The sequence below is a fragment of the Homo sapiens genome, chromosome 20 (assembly GCF_000001405.40).
Source record: "Homo sapiens chromosome 20, GRCh38.p14 Primary Assembly".
Lineage (NCBI taxonomy): Eukaryota > Metazoa > Chordata > Mammalia > Primates > Hominidae > Homo > Homo sapiens.
In genome coordinates, this window is record NC_000020.11 from 41,319,885 (window position 1) to 41,340,810 (window position 20,926).

Here is a 20,926-nt window from a genome sequence, read left to right on the forward strand (position 1 = left end):
GATCCTGAGAAAAATGAGGTATTCTCCCGACCTTTGAGGAACAGTATTTCAGAGGAAACAGTCATGTAAAAAAAATACTTCTGGCCGGGCACAGTGGCTCACGCCTGTAATCCCAGCACTTTGGGAGGCTTAGGTGGATGAATCATCTGAGGTCAGGAGTTCGAGACCAGCCTGACCAACATGGTGAAACCCCATCTCTACTCAAAATACAAAAATTAGCCAGGCATAGTGAGGCGCACCTGTAATCCCAGCTACTTGGGAGGCTGAGGCAGGAGAATCACTTGAACCCGGGAAGCACAGGTTGCAGTGAGCGAGTTTGCAGCATTACACTCCAGCCTGGGCAACAAGAGCGAAACTCTGTCTCAAAAACAAACAAACAAAAAACTTCTGGGAGAAAATATGTAACAAAGATGGATGTGCCAACTGCTTTGGGAAGCACAGAGAATAGCATAATTAACAATATACAGGAGAGTGTGGGTAGGCTTCCCAGAAAAGGTGACTTTGGGGCCACATCTAAAGAGTTGTTGAGACAGAGATTCCAGGCAGAAGAAACAGCCATTTAATACCAGTGTTGGGGGGTATGTCACAAATGATATTTACACACAGAGGCATATTACTTTCCTTTAAAAAAAATTAAGCAGATTTCAGGTAATCCCTATAATAATGTCATTTGCACTCACATTCTAATGAGCTTTCTCAAGCAGTAAGGAAACTGCTAGTATAGTTAATGCAATAGTTACCACCTGACCTCTGTTTTATTGGAATGGGCTACACCTGTGAACTTTTTGTGCCAGGGTCCAGAGGCAAAGAACTATCTGAAGTTTGCTGGCTGCAAGGACCAGAAACCCATCAGACCAATTCAAGGAAAATAAAAGGGGACTTTATCTTTAGGCTTTGGGTGGGATGGATCTCACAGAGGCCAAGGGAAATAATTAGCTGGGATTTTGGATGGGCTGGAAGCAGAGTAAGGGGAGCCAGTATGACTCCAGCAAACTTGTTTTCTCTGCCTCCAGGTATTAATAATACAATGGGAAATGTGTCTACCAACCTCTCCCAAGTATGAGATACAATTCCAACTACCCAGAGACTAAAACTCCCTAATCATTCTAATCACAAAATCATGTAGAAAAGGCTCTAACTGACCCAACTTGTGGTAGGTACTCTCCTCCAGAACAGTCATGCCAGCTTACAGGCATGAAGTTCACCAGGAAGCCACCTCTGTGAATCAAGAAATGGCCAATTACCAGGAAAAGGGAAATTGTTTCTAGCTGAGGCGGTATCTTGAAAGAAGTCCCTCACAGAACTGCTGGTTCCACATAGTGGCAAAACCCCTGGGAAACATTTGGTAGTGACACAGGAAACAATTGTTGAGTTCTTGATTTCTGCATAGTAGGGAGGCCTTTTTTAAGTGGCAATAAAAAAAAAAGTTGTTTTTTTTTTGTTGTTTTGTTTTGAGACTGTGTCTTGCTCTGTCACCCAGGCTGGAGTGCAATGACATGGTCTTGGCTCACTGCAACCTCTGCCTCCCAGGTTCAAGTGATTCTCCTGCCTCAACATCTCAAGTAGCTGGGATTACAGGCGTGCACCACCACGCCTGGCTAACTTTTGTATTTTTAGTAGAGATGGGGTTTTGCCATGTTGGCCAGGCTGGTCTCGAACTCCTGACCTCAGGCAATCCACCAGCCTTGGCCTCCCAAAGTGCTGGGATTACAGGCATGAGCCACCATGCCTGGCCTGAAAGCTGTTTTTTTCCCAGCAAAAAAGGGGACAAAAACTGGGATGCTCTCCATAAGACCTCTGTAGGCACATGATAGGATTGTACTTCCTTACAATAGCTTGGATTTGTGAATAGCCATGTGACTTTCTTTGGTCAATAAAATGTGAGTAGAAGTACAGTCACACATTGCTTAATGACAGGGATATGTTCTGAGAAATGTGTGATTAGGTTATTGCTTCATTGTGCAAACATCATGCAGTGTACTTACACAACTTAGACGGTAAAGCCTACCATACTGAGGCTATATGGTATAACCTATTGCTCCTCGGTTACAAACCTGTACAGCATGTTACAGTACTGAATATTGTAGGCAGTTATAACACGGTGGTATACATCTGTGTATCTAAACATATCTAAACATAGAAAAGGTACAGTAAAAGTAGGGTATAAAATATTTTAAAATGGTACACTTGTACAGGGCACTTATGAATGGAGCTTGCAGGACTGGAAGTTGCTCTGGGTGAGTCAGTGAGGGAGTTGTGAGGGAATGTGCAGACCTAGTAAATTACTGTATGCCACTGTAGACTGTATACACACTATACACTTACTGCTAAATTTTTTTTCTTGAGACAGAGTCTCGCTCTGTTGCTGAGGCTGGAGTGCAATGGCGCCATCTCGGCTCACTGCAACCTCTGCCTCCTGGGTTTAAGCAATTCTCGTGCCTCAGTCTCCCTAGGAGCTGGGATCACAGGTGTGCACCACCATGCCAAGCTAATTTTTTATATTTTTAGTAGAGACAGCGTCTCAATATGTTGCCCAGACTGGTCTCAGACTCCTGGCCTCAAGTGATCTGCCTGCCTCGGTCTTCCATAGTGCTGGAATTACAGGAGTGAACCACTATGCCCGGCCATACTTACACTAAATTTAGTTTTTAAATGCTTTTATTTGGCTAGGCACAGTGGCTCATACCTGTAATCCCAACACTTCGGAAGGCCGTGGTGGGAGGATTGCTTGAGGGCAGGAGTTTGAGACAAACTGGGCAATACAGTGAGACCCCCCATCTCTACAAAAAAATGTAAAAATTAGCTGGGTGTAGTGGCACATGCCCATAGTCTCAGCTACTCAGGAGGCTAAGGTTGGAGAATCACTTGAGCCCAGGAGTTTGAGGCTGCAGTGACCTACGATCATGGCACTGCACACTAGCCTGGGTGACAGATGGAGAGCCCATCTCTTAAAAAAAAAAAAAGGAAAGGAAAATAAATAGGTAAAAAAAGATTTTCTTTAATAATTATCTTTAGCTTACTTTAACTTTTTTAGCTTATTGTACTTTTAAATATTTTTAACTTTTTGACTGTTTTGTAATAACACTTAGCTTTTTTTTTTTCTTGAGACCATCTCGCTATGTCACCTGGGCTGGAGTGCAGTGGTACAATCTCAGCTCACTGCAGCCTCAACCTCCCAGGCTCAAGCAATCCTCCCATCTCAGCTCCCCAAGTAGTTGGGAAATAACACTGAACTTAAAACACAAACCCACTGTACAGCTGTACATTTTCTTTCTTCATATTTTTGTTCTGTAAGCTTTTTTTCTTTTTCCTTTTTTTCTTTTTTTGAAACAGGGTCTCATTCCAACGCCCAGGCTGGAGTGCAGTGGAGTGATCTCAGCTCACTGTAACGTCCACCTCCCGGGTTCAAACAATTCTCCTGCCTCAGCCTCCCGAGTAGCTGGAATTACAGGTGTGTGCCACCATGCCTGGCTAATTTTTGTATTTTTAGTAGAGACAGTGTTTCACAATGTTGGCCAGGCTGGTCTCAAACCCCTGACCTCAAGTGATCCACCCGCCTTGGGTTCCCAACTATAAGCTTTTTTCTATTAACTTTTTTTTAACTTTTTAAGCTTTATTGTAAAAAGACGTATTAGCCTTGGCCTACACAGGGTCAGCATCATCAATATCACTGTCTTCTACCTTCATATCTTGTCCCACTGGAAGCTCTTCAGAAGCAATAATATGCATGGAGCTGTCAACTCCTATGATGAAAATGCCTTCTTCTGGAATCCCTCCTGAAAGACCTGCCTGAGACTATTTTACAGTTATTTTTTATAAGTAGAAGGAGTACACTCTAAAATAATGATAAATAGTAAACACATGAACCAGTAACATAGTCATTTATTACAAGTATCAAGTTATTTGTATTACCTGTATCATGTACTGTACATAATTGTATGTGCTGTACTTTTAGACAACTGGCAACACAGGTTTCTTTACATGAGAAGCACCACAAACCTGTGACTAACGTGTTGCACTCTGATGTTATGATGGCTATAAGGCCACTAGGTGACAGGAGTTTTTAGTCTCCATTACCATCTTATGGGACCACCACTGTACATGCAGTTCATCACTGACTGCACGTACAGTGTTGCACCATTGTATATGCAAAACATCATTGTGTGGTGTATAATTCACCATACATCACTCCCAGGTCCAAAGCTAAGTCTTGAGATATTTGTACCCCCATGTTTATAGCAGCATTATTCACAATAATCAAAAGGTAGAAACAACTCAAGCATCTATTAACAGATAAATGGGAAAAATATGGTATATACATATGAAAGATTATTTAATCTTTAAAAGGAATTAAATTCTGACATGCTACAACATAGATGAAACTTGAGGACATTTTTCTAACTGGTTAAGTAAACCAGTTAGAAAAAGGCAAATATTGTATGACTCCACTTATGTAAAATACCTACTATAGTCAAATTCATAGAGACAGAAAGTAAAGTGGTGGTTGCCAGGGGCTGGGGGGAAGGGAGAATTGGAAGTTATTGTTTTATGAGTATAGAGTTTTGGTTTTCCAAGATGAAAAGAGTTCTGGAGATTGGTTGCACAACAATGTGAATGAAGTTAACACTAGTGAACTGTTCACTTAAAAATGGTTAATACAGGGCCGGGCACGGTGGCTCACACCTGTAATCCCAGTATTTTGGGAGGCCAGGGTGGGTGGATCACTTGAACTCAGGAGTTCAAGACCAGCCTGGCCAACATGGTGAAACCCCATCTCTACAAGAAATACAAAAATTAGTCAGGTGTGATGGTGCTCACCTGCAATCCCAGCGACTTGGGAGGCTGAGGCATGAGAATTGCTTGAACCTGGGAGGCAGAGGTTGCAGTGAGCTGAGATTGCACCACTGCACTCCAGCCTGGGCAACAGAGAGAGACTCCATCTCAAAAAAAAAAAAAAAAAGTTAATACCTAGATTTATGTAGATTTATGTAGATTTTACCGCAGTTTAAAAAAAATAAATAAATCAAATGGGCCGGGCGGCTCATGCCTGTAATCCCAGCACTTTGGGAGGCCAAGGTGGGCAGATCACGGGGTCAGGATATCAAGACCATCCTGGCCAAAATGGTGAAACCCCATCTCTACTAAAATACAAAAACTTAGCTGGGCGTGGTGGCATGCACCTGTAGTCCCAGCTACTTGGGAGGCTGAGGCAGGGGAATTGCTTCAACCCAGGAGGCGGAGGTTGCAGTGAGCTGAGATCACACCACTGCACTCCAGCCTGGTGACAGAACCAGACTCCGTCTCAGAAAGAAAGAAAAAAAATCAAATGGAGATAATAAAATGGAATAAAAAATACTTGGCTACTCCAAAAGAAGGACAAAAAAATTAAACAGGGACAAAAGCCAGGTAGGACAAATAGATTTTTTTAAATAGCCAGATTATATACTTAAATGGTTTGAAATCATATCTGTAATTATATTAAATGGGAATGGACTAAATATTCTAGCAAAAGGGGAAAATTAACAAACTGAAATTAAAACAAACAAACAAGACTCAACTATTTGACGCTGGCCAGGTCTGGTAGCTCACTCCTGTAATCCCAGCACTTTGGGAGGCTAAGGCAGGTGGATTGCTTATGACCTAAATACACAAAATAAAACTATAATCATGGCCTGACATACAGAAGATACTCAATAAATATATCTTGAATGAATGGGTGCATATATGTGATATGTTGCTCCAACTAAACTTCACTTATTCAATGAACAGCCAAACCAATTTTTTTGGATATGGACTTAAACATGAAAGGTAAAACAATAAATTTTAGATGATAACATACAATAATATCTTCATAACCTCAAGGTAGAAAAAGTTTTCTTGGCCGGGCGCAGTGGCTCAAGCCTGTAATCCCAGCACTTGGGAGGCCGAGGCAGACGGATCATGAGGTCAGGAGATTGAGACCATCCTGGCTAACATGGTGAAACCCCATCTCTACTAAAAATACTAAAAAAATTGCCGAGCATGGTAGCGGGCGCCTGTAGTCCCAGCTACTTGGGAGGCTGAGGCAGGAAAATGGCGTGAACCCAGGAGGCCGAGCTTGCAGTGAGCCGAGGTCGTGCCACTGCACTCCAGCCTGGGCAAGAGCGAGACTCCGCCTCAAAAAAAAAAAAAAAAAAAGAAAAAAAGTTTTCTTAAACAGAACAGAAAAAGCACTAGCCATAGGAAAGATCGATAAATTGCACTTTTTTTTTTTACAATTAAGAACTGTTCAACAAGAGACATCACTAAGAGAGTGAAGAAGCAAGCCACAGATTTGCCATGCACATAACAAAAGTTTTATATCCAAAATATACAAAAACTACTATATAGACCAATAGAAAAATGGGCAAAAATAGGCTCTTCACACACACACACACACACACACACACACAGACACAAATCCAAACAGCCAATAAACATGTAGCAAGTGCTTAGCCTCATTAATGATGAAAATGAAATACAGCGAACAACTACTACAGATCCAGGTGGCTAAACATTCCAAGTCTGACAGTAACAACTGTTGGTGAATGTATAAGGGAAGCTCTTATACATTGCTGAAGGGAGTGCACTTGTATAAACATTTTGGAAAACAGTTTGGCATTATTATTTTTTTTTGAGACACAGTCTCGCTCTGTCCCAAGCTTGAGCGCAGTGGCGCGATCTTGGCTCACTGCAGCCTCTACCCCCAGGGTTCAAGAAATTCTCCTGCCTCAGCCTCCCAAGTAGCTGGGACTACAGGTGTATGCTGCCATGCCCTGCTAATTTTTTGTATTTTTAGTAGAGACGGGGTTTCACCCTGTTGGCCAGGATGGTCTTGATCTCCTGACCTTGTGATCCACCCACCTCAGTCTCCCAAAGTGCTGGGATTACAGGCGTGAGCAACCGCACCCAGTAGCATTATTTTAAGTTAAGCATAGGCATAGCTCATAACCCAGAAATTCTGCTCCAAAATACATACCCATGAGAAACACATGCCCAGATACAGCAGTAGACATGTACAAGAATGTTCACAGCAGCATTATTTATAATAACCCCACGTTGGAAACAACCCAAATGCCCATCAGTAGCAGATGGAATAAATTGTGATATATTCACTCAGCAGAACACTACAGACAACACTGAAAATGAGTGAAGTATAGCTGTGCACAGTACCATGGAAGAATCTGATAACGAGTGTGAAGCCAGAGAAGTCACACACACATCTTAAGACTGCCTTTCTATAAAACCCATAGCCACACAAAACCAAACATGTCCCTCCCCCACAATCCCCCACCACTCCTCTACTTATGAGACACAGAAAGAGTGGTAATAGAGACAGATTTCATGGTAACTAGTTAGGGAATCACCATTTTGTACCCAGGCACAGAAAACCAACCCCCTACTGGAATATCTCCTGCATGCAGGGATGAGGAGAGAAACTGGCCTTCGAGGTGAGGGAATTCAAGGAAGTGACTGACAGCTCTCTGCTGTGGGGATAGAGAACATTATTACGGTCAGGCCACCCTTCTGTTAGAATCCATTGTGATGACTTCAGTGTTACTTTTTTTTTTTTTTTTTTGAGACAGGGGCTCACTGTCACCCAGGCTGGAGTGCACTGTCACTATCATGGCTCACTGCGGCCTCGACCTCCCGGGTTCAAGTGATCCTCCTGAGTAGCTGGGACTAACGCAGCACCATGCCCAACTAATTTTTCTATTTTTTTTTGTAGAGACAGGGTTTCACTATGTAGCCCAGGCTGGTCTCAAACTCCTGGCTCAAGTGATCCACCTGCTTCAGCCTCCCAAAGTGGTATGATTACAAGTGTGAGCCACCATACCCAGCTACAGGGTTATTTTAATAAAGTCACTGAAAGTTAGGGGGTCATAATGACCCATTTATAGCATGCTAAACTTTCATCAGGCACTGGAGGCCACGATATGGGACAACAAGCAATTCCTGAGGTGCACTGCACATTAGCAAAAGAAGGCCATGCAGCTCTGGAAAGATTCTCAACAATAAACATAATTAAGTTTGTTGTATGTTCCTCCAGATTTTTTTAGGGTATCTAAACGTTTTTTATTATAAATATGGTATTATATTACATGTATTGTTTACCTTTTTAAAACTTAACAGTAGCTGCTAAACATCTGTTAAACATATTTTAATACATAGAGACCTACTTCATAATTTAGGGGGTGATGGAAACTTCATAATTCTGGGTGTGATTAATATACTTATTACCTTGATTGTGGTGATCATTTCACAGGTACACACATCAAAACTCAGTGTACACTTTAGATATGTGTTTTTTTGTTTTGTTTTGTTTTTTGAGATGGAGTCTCACTCTGTCGCCCAGGCTGGAGTGCAGTGGCGCCATCTCTGCTCACTGCAAGCTTCGCCTCCCGGGTTCACGCCATTCTCCTGCCTCAGCCTCCCGAGTAGCTGGGACTACAGGCGCCCGCCACCACGCCCAGCTAATTTTTTGTATTTTTTAGTAGAGACGGGGTTTCACCATGTTAGCCAGGATGGTCTCGATCTCCTGACCTCGTGATCCGCCCGCCTCGGCCTCCCCAAAGTGCTGGGATTACAGGCGTGAGCCACTGCGCCTGGCCTAGATATGTGTTTTATTATACATCAATTATACCTCAGTAAAACTGAAAAAAGGTTGTGTTTTAAATCTCTCCCCACCGTTTTTTTTTTTTTTTTTTTTTTTTTTTTTGGCACGACAGGGTCTCACTCCTCTGCCCAGACTGGAGCACAGTAGTGTGATCATAGCTCACTGCAGCTTCCAACTCTTGGGCTCAAGCAATCCTCTTGCCTCAGCCTCCAGAGTAGCTAGGACTACAGGCACGCACCACCATACCCAGATAATTAAACAAATTTTTTTTGTACAGACAGCCTCTTGCTTTGTTGCCCAGGTTGATCTCAAAATCCTGGCTTCAAGCAGCCCTCCCTCCTTGACCTCCTGAAATGTTGGGATTACAGGCATGAGCCACCACGCCTGGCCTTGTGTTTTAAATCTTTTACTGTTTTCTTCCACTTAACACTATAAATTCCATCCATGCTGTTTTATGTCTATTTCATGTAGAATTCCAAGGTATGTATCCACAACATTTTACTAACTCATCCCCTAGTTCCTTTGCCTCTAGTTCCTGTATGCCATTAACACTGTAACAAATAACCTCCTGCTTGTCTTCTTGCGGATCTGAGCAAACTTTCTTCAAAATGTATTTCCAGGCATGAGACTGCTACACTACTGAGCCCTATGCATACTTAATTTTACTCAGAACTACTGGCTTATTTTATAGAAGGGCTGAGCAAGTTTATATTCCCACCAGTCCAATCTCTTCACATGGGTTTCTGACCCTTCGCGTTGCAGTAACACTGAGACGATGGATGTTCATTCCTGGTGCCCCGATTCAATTTGAAATTGACTTCATGGTCACTGACAAATTATTCTTCAGGTTGTGGCAGGGCTGAGGCCATTTCCTAGTGACTTAACAGATGGAATTTGTTCTCTATTTTCACTTGCTTTTTAAATGTTTTCGGGGAGGGGTGCCTGTTAGAGACAGGAGCACTACAGACTGTCTTCCCTAGGCACTCCCTGGCAGCCTTCTAAGTCCCTAACTACATGGAGAAACTGCCTTGGGTCAGTGTTTTAAGCTGCAAGGAATGTTGTGACTCAGCTAGTCGTTCAGGGACACCTCGATGAACAAGGCCACGGGAAGGAAGTCATTACACAGAGAGCTGGACTGTAAAAACCAAAAATACTCTACACACCAAACTCTAGAGCAGTGCAGCAGTACATCCCATGACTCAACGGGACAGCTTCTGCCACGTGGCACACAGCTCCGGATATGTGGTGCGCAGCCCTCACTCGCGGCTCTGCTGCCGCTCTGAGCTGCTTGGAAAGTTGATGGGGTGGGGAAATCTGTGACTGTATTCTCTCTCCACCCCCTCCACTCTGACCATTGCTCCTCTCATCAGCTCCCCCTCTTCCTACTCCTTCTTTAACCCTCTTGCCCTGCAAAAACAAAAACAGCTGGAATTTAGTATTTCACACATGCTGGCAATTTAGTGGGGACACATGGAGGTCAAAACGCTGGCACTCTAGGAAGACCCTACTGATCAGGCAGACACTGGGCAACAGGTCATATCACCTGGGACAGGGTCAAGAGTACTGGGCAAAGAGGCAGCCCCAAGGAACAGAGACTTCAAGGTACAGGCAAAACCTTTAAAGATGTGGACATTCACTCACTAATCTTTATCAGAGACCTACTATGTGCCAGATGCTTTTTGTTTGTTTCTTTGAGACGGAGTCTCATTCACTGGAGTGCAGTAGCACCATCTCGGCACACTGCAACCTCCACCTCCAGTTCAAGCAATTCTCCTGCCTCAGCCTCCCCATGAGCTGGGATTAGAGGCATGCACCACCACACTTGGCTAATTTTTATATTTTTGGTACAGACAGGGTTTCACCATCTTGGCCTGGCTGGTCTTGAACTCCTAGCCTCAAGTGATCCACCCGTGTTGGCCTCCCAAACTGTTGGGATTACAGGCGTGAGCCACCGTGCCCGGCCCCAGACTGTTCTTAGGAACTGTCAGTGAAGACAGATCAGATGTCTTGTCCTCACGGGGCCTGCATTCTTTTGGAGGGAGACACACACATACCAGACATCCTCAAGAAGTGAATTAGCACTCAAGGAAGTTGTTAGGGCTACTGGAAAAGATTAGAGCACAGAGAGGTGTCTGGGCATGGTCAGGGTAGACTTCATGGACATTGGTGTGGTCTTGAGGTTAGTGAGGGAGCCAGCCAGGTAGGCATCTAGGGAAAGAAACTTCTGGGCAGAGGAAACAGCCAGTGTGCTTTTTTTTTTTTTTTTTTTTTTTAAAGAGAGAGTCTTACGCTGTCACTCAGGCTGGTGTGCAGTGGTGTAATCACAGCTCTGCAACCTTGAAATCCTGGGCTCAAGCGATCCTCCCATCTCAGCCTCCCAAAGTGTTGGGATTAAAGACATGAACCACTGCATCTGACCAAGTATACTTTTAAGTGTACTCAATAATTGGTTTCCTTTTCCTCATCTATAACAACAGTTTCTACCTTTTGTCCAGCTCCTGAGAGCCTTGAGTTCTAATCACAACAGCCCCTCACTCCCAGTGGCAGCCCTTCCATGCAGCCTCCCCTCTCTAGCCCCACTCTGCCTGTTAGCATCTGCAGCCATGGTGCAGGCCTAGTACATGGATGAGTTCCCAGACTGCTGGAGGCAGCCCCACCACCCCGAGCCCCTGGCCACCCAGTGGGCCAGAAACAGCCATGCTGGCTCAGGGTGCACTACTAAAGCTGGACACTGACAAATGAGAGAATGATCCAGAATTAGAAAAGACTCAAAGAGAGAGAAGCTACTCCTGGATAGACATAATAACCATATGTAAAGATAAATTACCAAATTATGAAGAAAAGATTAAGGTGTTTTATGGGGAGCATTTACACTTGGATGATCGGATCTGTTACATCCCGGGTGGCAGTGGATACTTTTGATATGACAGATAAAGAAGACAAGTGAATCTACATCTTCATGGAGAAAGGAGACATAACTCTCCCCACAGGAATTCGTCACCACCTCACTCTGGATGAAAAGAAGTACGTGAAGGCCATATGGCCATTCAGGGAGACCCAGTGTGGACAGCATACAATGGGCCAGCTGACCATTTCAATGTCCAGGGACAATACATGAAATTTCTGGCACAGACAGCATAGCAGGGCTCCCTGAGAACATGTACTTTGTGAAGGTCCTAAACGTAACTGAGCACAAAATCATTTTTCTCTTTGCTTTTATACGGTAAACTTGTCTTTCCTTTGCAAGATTATTTGATCAGAATGTTTTTTATCTTATTTTTATTTTTTGAGACAGAGTCTCACTCTGCTGCCCAGGCTGGAGTGCAGTGGCATGATTCCAGCTCGCTGCAATCTCCACCTCCCAGGCTCAAGTGGTTCTCATGCCTCAGCCTCCTGAGTAGCTTGTATACAGGTGCACATCATCACACCCGGCTAATAGAAACAGGGTTTCAACATGTTGGCCAGGCTGGTCTCAAACACCTGGCCTCAAGTGATCTGCCTGACTCAGCCTCTCAAAGTTTTGGGATTACAGGCATGAGCCACCGTGCCTGGCTCAGAATATTTTTTAATGAAAGGAGCAATAAAACTGATTTTTACATGGAAGCAACTGTGGAAATGAAGACAAGTCACCTTCGTTTTGTCTAATGCAATCAAGACTAGTGGTTCAGTAGCCCTGTGTTAGTACATGCACTCATCTTTAGTCCAAATGAGAGTTTCATCTCCCAAAATGTATCTCCTTAGATGTTCTATCTGGACATGATATTGTGCCTGCCTTGTAACAAGGTGCAATGGTAGATAACCAGATAGAAGACACTTTTTTTCTCCCAAAATTATACACTGAGGTGGGGAATTATACACATAGAGGGAAGAGCTCTTATGTTAGGCGACACATTCTGAGTTGCTTATGCCACTTTCTTGTTCAAAATAAAGTCATTGCTGGGCGCGGTGGCTCACGCCTGTAGTCCCAGCACTTTGGGAGGTCGAGGCGGGCAGATCACGAAGTCAGGAGATTGAGACCATCCTGGCTAACACGGTGAAACTCCGTCTCTACTAAAAATACAAAAAATTAGCCGGGCTTGGTGGTGGGCGCCTGTAGTCCCAGCTACTCGGGAGGCTGGGGCAGGAGAATGGAGTGAACCTGGGAGGTGGAGCTTGCGGTGAGCCGAGATTGCTCTACTGCACTCTATCTAGCCTGGGCTACAGAGCAAGACTCCATCTCAAACAAAACAAAACAAAACAAAATAAAGTGACTGCCTCAATTTTATGCTCATGGCTTGGCATTATCTTATATTCAAGTATATATGGTATTTTGCCTAGCTTGTTAAAATCACCAGTTTAGATTCTTTGTGTGACTGTATATGTATGTGATTAATGTGTATATTATCTGTGTTGGTATTTTTTTCAGTGCGAGTTGTCTAGGTTCTTTCACAATCAAGATTTTAACAGAATTAGTATTTTAAAATTTATCAAGAGAATTAGTACGTTATTTTTCTACTCAATTCTAAGACTCTACTCAATTCTAAGACACAATTATGCCTAGTTCGTTATAATCATAGAAAAACCCCAAATAAATTTCATGTTTTAGAAGGTCAGGTTGTTTTCTAAGTATTTTTCTAAAACTGGATGAAAATTTTTCATGTTAAAATTAATTTTTCATTACTTTCACACTGGTCTTGGGGGTCTGTTTCTCACTGCACAGAGGAAAGTCGATCCTTAAATGTTATTATCATGGTGCCTGTGTACATTTTAATCCTGAAATTATTAATTTTAGGATTAAGGCCAGGTGCAGTGGCTCACATCTGTAATCCCAGCACTTTGGGAGGCTGGGGCGGGTGGATCACATGAGGCCAGGAGTTTGAGACCAGCCTGGCCAACATGGTGAAACCCTGTCTCCACTAAAAACACAAAAAATTAGCCAGGCATGTGGCACACGCTTGTAATCCCAGCTACTCAGGAGGCTGAGGCAGGAGAATCACTTCAACCCAGGAGGCAAAGGTCACAGTGAGCTGAGATCGCACCACTGCAGTCCAGTCTGGGCAACAGAGTCTCTATCTTTAAAAAAATAAATAAAATTGTAAAAAAGGATTAAAATGTAGACAGGAACCATGATAACATAAATATCATAGGGCTTTCTTCTGTCAAATTTTACTCTGATAAAGTGCTGATCTGATTTTTTTTTATGGATTCATTTCTAAATGGTCATTGTAAAATGCAACTTCCTTCTTCTTGGAGACAGGGTCTTACTCAGTTGCCCAAGCTGGAGTACAGTGGCATGATCACAGAATCACAGTTCACTGCAGCCTCAACCTCCTGCTCTCAAGCAATCCTCCCACCTCAGTCCGCCAAGTAGCTGAGACTACAGGCACGTGCTACCACACTCAGCTAATTTTTTTTTATTTTTTGTAGAGTCAGGGTCTCACTATGTTGCCCAGGCTGGTCTCAATCTCCTGGGCTCAAGCAATCCTCCTGCCTCAGCCTCCCAAAATGCTAGGATTACAGGCGTGAGCCACCACACCTGGCCAAAGCAGAATATTATAAAATGTAACATAATCACAGGAGTGATATTCCATTACCTTTGCCATATTCTATTGGTTAAAAGCAAGTCACAGGTCCTACCCACACTTCAGTGAAAGGGATGACACAAAGGCATGAACACCAGGAGGCAGAAATGCAGGGGCCACCTTAGAGTCTGTCTGCCACTGAAGACAGTAACAATGGATCTGGAATCTGAAAAATGAGTTGGCATCAACAATGTGGACAGAGGGAGGGAAGAACTGTCCAAGCAGAGAAGGGGCAGGACGGTGAAAGCAGATGGTGTGTACAACTTATACAAAGGGCCTAGTCTAGTGACTAGCAATACCGTATCACTCTCCTGCTCAATAATCATTGATAGCTCCCCAGTGCCCATGGTTTTGCCCCATATTCAAGGTTATCTCCTTGCATTCGCTTTGTCTTCAATACCCATGCCTTCACTCACCACTTCCACCCACTTAGACTGCCTATTGCCTCCTATATTTACCCCATCTATATATAGTTCAAGGCCCAGCATAAACTGATATTCTGTAAACAATATTTCTGAATATCTAAGTGGAGGGCACTGTGCCAGATCCTCTTGGAGTTGCAAAGCTTAAGACATGGTCCACATGCCAGATGGAGGGCGGGTGGGGGCAGAAGGTACACCCCAAGAAGAAAAAGAATAGGAGGTCCCTTTGTTGAGGATCAAACCCATGGGGCAGTTGGGAAATCCTGAAGGGATTTTTAGGCCACAGAAAGCTCCACTTCCTACATTGGTTAATGATCTTTCAGGATTCCTCTCCAGGCTAGAAATTACAAACAAATTCCAAAAAGGCTGCTAAACTGACGTCTTTCCGGGAGTCGGGAACCGCACAGTTGCAATCTAGACAAGCCGGGTCACTCCTCATCTGGCACAAAAGGTACCTTTAGCAGGAGCTGCGGATGGCAACAGAAGTCTCCTGCCCTCCAGCCTGAGGGTCCCTGATAACATCCAGGAATTGTTTCCATTGGCTGGGAGGAGAGGCCCCCAGTGGCTGTGCACAGTTCTGGCCACATCCTCAGGAGAAGGAAACAAGGAAGGCAAAAGCAACCCAGCCAGGGACACAGAGCAGGAACCTCTCCAGCCGGGGGCGGAGGGGGCTGCTCCCCCAGCTCCATCTCTCACCTAGCCTAGGAAGGAGCTGCGCTTGGACCCGGCAGCCCCGACCTCGCAACCACGTACCTGCCCACTGCTCACTGACATGGCTGGGGGTTGAGCAAATGTCTTGAGAGCAAAAGCTCCTGGATTGAAGGAAGTGGGGAGGCCTGGCACCTCCTGGGTCTCTCTTCACACCCCAATTTCCATCTTCTCCAGCATTTACTCCACCTGGAAGGCAGAGGCTTTACCCTCAGCACTCACTACAGCGTCTTCCTTCGCTCTGAGGGCAGGGATTTTATACCCTTCCCACCTCCCAACCTAAACTATCCCCAGGTGGCTCAGCCTGGCCTTTGTACAAATGAGTCCCTGCACCTGGATCACTGTGCTCACCTGTCTTCACCTAATTCCAACTTACTTTTCCACTCTCTGGAAAGCATTCTCTGACCCTTCCCACCCCACTATGGGCTCCTGGGCTTGCCCCACCTCAGGTTTCATCATCTTATATTGCAATTCCCTGGCTGCTGGTCTGTTCTTCCCCTCCCCTCCCCATCCTCTAAGACTATGGGGCTCCTGCAGCATCTCTAGTGCCTGGCCCAGGCATGGTGCTCAGGAAGAACACAATCACCCTGTTGTCCTCTGTTCCTCTGCCGGGATGGGAGAGTCTGGTAGTCACTTTATCTTTTACAGCAGCAGGTCTCAGACTAGAGTGAGCATCAGAATCCACTTGGTGGTGCAGGCAGGGAGGGACTTATTAAAATACAGATTCTGGGCCCTACCCCCAGAGTTTCTGATTCAGTAGGTCTGGGGTAGGGCCTGAGAACTGGTATTTCTAACAAGTTCCCAAGTGCTGCTGCTGGTCCAGGGACCACACTTTAAGAATCACTGTTGGGGCTGGGTGCTGTGGCTCACGCCTGTAATCCCAGCACTTTGGGAAGCCAAGGTGGGTGGATCACTTGAGGTCAGGAGTTCGAGACCAGCTTGGCCAACACGGTGAAACTCCCTCTCTACTCAAAATACGAAAATTAGCCGGGCATGGTGGCACGAACCTGTAAACCTGTAATCCCAGCTACTCAGGAGGCTGAGGCAGGAGAATCACTTGAACCTGGGAGGCAGAGGTTGCAGTGAGCCAAGATTGCGTCACTGCACTCCAGCCTGGGTGAAAGAGCGAGACTCCATCTCAAAAAAAAAAAAAAAAAAAAAGAATCACTGTTAGCCTGGCATGGTGGCTCACGCCTGTAATCCCAGCACCTTTGGGAGGCCAAGGTGGGTGGATCACTTGAGGTCAGGAGTTTGAGATCAGCCTGCCCAACATGGTGAAACCCCGTTTCTACTAAAAATACAAAAATTAGCTAGGCGTGGTGGTGGGCGCCTGTAATCCCAGCTACTTGGGAGGCTGAGGCAGGAGAATTGCTTGAACCTGGGAGGCAGAGGTTGCAGTGAGCCAAGATCACACAAATCCCCATCTCAGGGTGTCAGTTTCTTCACTGGTAAAATGGGATAACTACTGTCCCCATTATCCTGGGTTTTGTGAAAATCCAATGAGATAATGCAAATGAAGAACTCATGCACCCAGTAGGTGCTCAATAAATGTTAGCGATCCCTCCTGGGAGTAGGCAGGAGACATGGCAGGCAGGGAAAGCATGAACAGGAGCAGAGATGGGAAAGGTCCCAAGCAGGTCAGCTGGGCTGGCAGAAGAGCCAAGGCCCAGCACAGCAGCCAGGGAGTGTCCTGTAGAAGTAACTGGGAGCCACGCACAGTTCTGGAGCTGGGCAGTGACAGGTGGAAGCTGAATGTGGCAACATGGGGCAGAGGCCATTGCCGGCAGCAAGTCCCACGTGCTGGAGACTTGGCTGTTTGGCTAGACATAGGGTTGCCAGATTTAGCAAAGAAGATAAAGTATGTCCAGTTAAATTTGAATCTCAGATGAATAATGAATACTTTCTTTTAGTATAAGTATGTCCCAAATATTGCTTGGGTATACTTATATTAAAAAGCAGTTGCTGTGCATCTGAAATTCAGATTTACATGAGTGTCCTTTATTTTTATTTGCTGAATCTGGCAATCCCAACTAGACACCAGTTGCCTGCCCCCCAGCCCTTAGTCCTGCATGCAGTGGGAGACCCAGCCCCAGGGTCCACTGCCTCCCTTCCCACCTTCAACAAAGCCACCAGGAGTGATTGATGAGCTGCTCCCAGAAGCCAGTATTGCTGCTCTGAGTGATCACAACTACAGGCCTGGGTAAGGGGGCCCTCTCACCTCATGCCAGGTTCACCCAGCAAGAAAGTAGAGGGGCACAGTCACTAACCACTGGGTCTGTAAATTAACAAAGCACATAGGGTGAATGGAATGACTCATCCCAGGACTTTGAGAGGCAGAGACAAGAGGATTGCTTGAGCCCAGGAGTTCGGGACCAGCCTGGGTGACATAGTGAGACACCCATCCCTACAAAAAATTTTTAAAAATTAGCTAGATGTGGCTGGGCACCGTGGCTCACGCCTGTAATACCAGCACTTTGGGAGGCCCAGGCGGGTGGATCATGAGGTCAAGAGTTCAAGACCAGCCTGGCTAAGATGGCAAAACTCTATCTCTCCTAAAAATACAAAAATTAGCCAGGCATGGTGGCAGGCACCTGTAATCCCAGCTACTCATGAGGCTGAAGCAAATAATCGCTTGAACCTGGGAGGCGGAGGTTGCAATAAGCCGAGATTGTGCCACTACACTCCAGCCTGGGCAACAGAGCGAGACTCTGTCTCTAAAAAAAAAAAAAAAAAAAAAAAAAAGCCAGGTGTGATCATGCATGCCTGTGGTCCCAGCTCCTCGAGAGGCTGAAGTAGGAGAATTGCTTGAGCCCAGGAGGTCAAGGGTGCAGTGAGCTGTGATTGTGCCACTGCACTCCATCCTGGGTGACAGAGCCAGACCCTGTCTAAAACAAAACAAAAAAACAATAAAACACATAAGCTACCAAATTCTGTAAAGAAGGAAGTACCACCTGCATTCTTGGATTAATGAAGAAACAAACAGCTGCCAGTGATATAGGCTCATCCGATGAGTATACCCAAGCAGAGGAAAAAATGGCCTCCACCTTCAACCCCAGAAATGGGCAAACACAAGTGTCCATGCTGCTTGCACCCTCAGAGAAAGCCCTGGAGATGGTGATGTCAACCACAAGCTAGAGTGGGACAGTCTCTGCCTTATTCAGTTCCATTCAGTGTTAGAACAAGTCATACTAGCAGAGGCTGTTCTATCTGCCTTTCTTCTCCTACCCTCATCACCAAATCCCAGATGATTGAGAGTTCCAGAAACGAGCCTGTCAGAAATGCAATTTTTCTTTTTCTTTTTTTTTTTTTTTGAGACAATGTCTTGCTCTGTCACCCAGGGTGGAGTACAGAGGCGCCATCTCAGCTCACTGCAACCTCCACCTCCTCGGTTCAAGTGATTCTCCTGCCTCAGCCTCCTGAGTAGCTGAGACTACAGCTGTGCACCACCATGCCTGGCTAATTTTTTTTTTTTTTGTATTTTTAATAGAGACGGGGGACCGAGCGCAGTGGCTAACGCCTGTAATCCCAACACTTTGGGAGGCTGAGGTGGGTGGATCACGAGGTCAGGAGATCGAGACCATCCTGGCTAACACAGTGAAACCCTGTCTCTACTAAAAATACAAAAAATTAGCTGGGCATGGGGATGGGCCCCTGTAGTCCCAGCTACTCAGGAGGCTGAGGCAGGAGAATGGCGTGAACCCGGAAAGTGGAGCTTGCAGTGAGCAGAGATGGTGCCACTGCACTCCAGCCTGAGTGACAGAGCGAGACTTCATCTCAAAACAAAAACAAAAACAAAAAAACAGAGATGGGGTTTCACCGTGTTGGCCAGGCTGGTCTCCAACTCCTGACCTCAGACGATCCGCCCACCTCTGCCTCCCAAAGTGCTGGGATTGCAGGCGTAAGCCACCTCACCCCAGCCGCAAATGCAATTTCTGCAACAACCTTTATATCAACTTTTTTTCCTCTAACAATGAACAATGAAAACAATTTGTGCTCCATCTTTAAAAATGTGTGACACAAAAATTTTTTAAATAAAAATAAATATGTGATAAACATTCCTGAATGCCTAGTGTGTGCCCTGGCGCTGTGCTCTGCATTTAATTTGGATCAGCAGTTCTCAGCCTTGTTTGTACATTACAACCAACTGGAGAGGTTTTTAAACTCCCAGTATCCGGGGCATCAGTATTCGTCTAGGGCACAGTGATTCTAACACACAGTCAAGGTTGAGAACCACTTATTTAATTCATCCTGTAAATCCTCACAATAGAATCCTGCAAGGTAGCTTTTATCACCACCTTTGCCGATGAAATTGAGGCTCAAAGAGGTAAATTGATTTCGGCATCTGTAGCCCCAACCTGTGACCTCTCCTTCCTTCCTTCTCGGGCTCCCTTCAGGGATTTCCTGATGTTACAGAAAATGGTATGTATGACGCTGCCCTCCTGGCCACCTTGACATAGCTCTGCTCCCAACAGGGCTCTTCTGAGATAGCAGCCAGACACTACCTGGGATCAGGACTGATACTAAATGACTTCTGCCAAAATGAGGACAACTGAGGCCAGTCACTTCCAAACAGGTTCTGTCACCCTGAGTCAGAATAATGGCAGCTACCTCTCCTCCTCACCGCCCAGTCGTTTCTAAGCCTGGCTCGTCGCCGTTGCTGCTCCGCCAAGCCTTTCCTCGGTGCCCTCTCTCTTTTAGAACAAATTACTTCATCTCCAGGCCCTTCTCAGGGCAGCTTCTTTGCAGGGGCCATAGGGCGTCGGAAAGGTCTTTGGTCCAGGAAAGCCGCGAGCCACAGATCCAAGAGGAAAAAGCCGTTCCCGGCCCGGGCCTTGCCCAAGGCACGAGAGTAAATGCACCTTCCGCGTGCCTCGGCGCACCTGGGCTCACCTGTCCCCTCCCGCAGTGCCTGCAGACAGGGAGGGAGCGCGGCTGGGCCAGAAGGCTGATCACCGCCTGCCCCCTGCTGGCCAGTGTCAGTATTGAGCCCGCTGCCGCTCGACCAGAACGTCCCAGGGATGGAATGAAGGTGCGGGCATTTATGGAGCGCCTGCTGTTTGTCAGGCGAGGTACTGATAAGCGCTGGAGTGTAAGGATGTACGTGACCTGCTCTCAGAGTTCAAATTTAAATGAAGAGATATACATTAATCAAGTAGTCATTCAAGCAAATATGAAATTACAACTGTGGGCTATGCGAACAGATGACGCGAGGGGCCTGTCCAGTCTGGGAGATACGGGTGGGTTCAGGAAAAGCTGCCCCCAGGAGGGGACGTTTGAGCGCCAGGAGCCGCGCAAAGTCATTTCATGTCATCTCTAAAATCCTGCAAGGCGGCTTTCCCCCTTGACAAAACAGGAAATGGGATCAAATTGAGGAAGGAATTCACCCAAGATCACACAGCAAGCTGGAAGCAAATCTGGGAGGAGCTAGGTCCGCCCCGTTCCGAAATCCACACTTTTCTGGAGGTGGGGCAGGCGGTGGCACAGGGACTTGGGGCGGGGTCTGGTGGGCGGGGCATGAAGTCTGGCCCCGCCCCCGCCTCCGAGGCCAAAGGGCGCCCTGGGCGGGGATCGGAGCAGGGGCGGGGTCTTTCCAGGGAGTG

General features: G+C 45.8%; 1 pseudogene, besides 4 other annotated features; it reads left to right on the forward strand.

Annotated features, from left to right (window-relative positions):
* Positions 9,961-10,010: an enhancer, noted in NCBI's record as "active region_17893". NCBI's record gives its function as "activates an Ori minimal core promoter by ATAC-STARR-seq in GM12878 lymphoblastoid cells {active_cell/tissue: GM12878}" and the evidence as "EXISTENCE:reporter gene assay evidence [ECO:0000049][PMID:35858748]".
* Positions 11,238-13,357, forward strand: ADI1P1 (acireductone dioxygenase 1 pseudogene 1; annotated as a pseudogene).
* Positions 14,181-14,407: a silencer, noted in NCBI's record as "fragment chr20:39962705-39962931 (GRCh37/hg19 assembly coordinates)". NCBI's record gives its function as "represses an EF-1alpha promoter that drives an FKBP-Casp9 reporter gene in an ReSE screen in HepG2 liver carcinoma cells {active_cell/tissue: HepG2}" and the evidence as "EXISTENCE:reporter gene assay evidence [ECO:0000049][PMID:32094911]".
* Positions 20,549-20,598: an enhancer, noted in NCBI's record as "active region_17894". NCBI's record gives its function as "activates an Ori minimal core promoter by ATAC-STARR-seq in GM12878 lymphoblastoid cells {active_cell/tissue: GM12878}" and the evidence as "EXISTENCE:reporter gene assay evidence [ECO:0000049][PMID:35858748]".
* Positions 20,759-20,918: a silencer, noted in NCBI's record as "silent region_12919". NCBI's record gives its function as "represses an Ori minimal core promoter by ATAC-STARR-seq in GM12878 lymphoblastoid cells {active_cell/tissue: GM12878}" and the evidence as "EXISTENCE:reporter gene assay evidence [ECO:0000049][PMID:35858748]".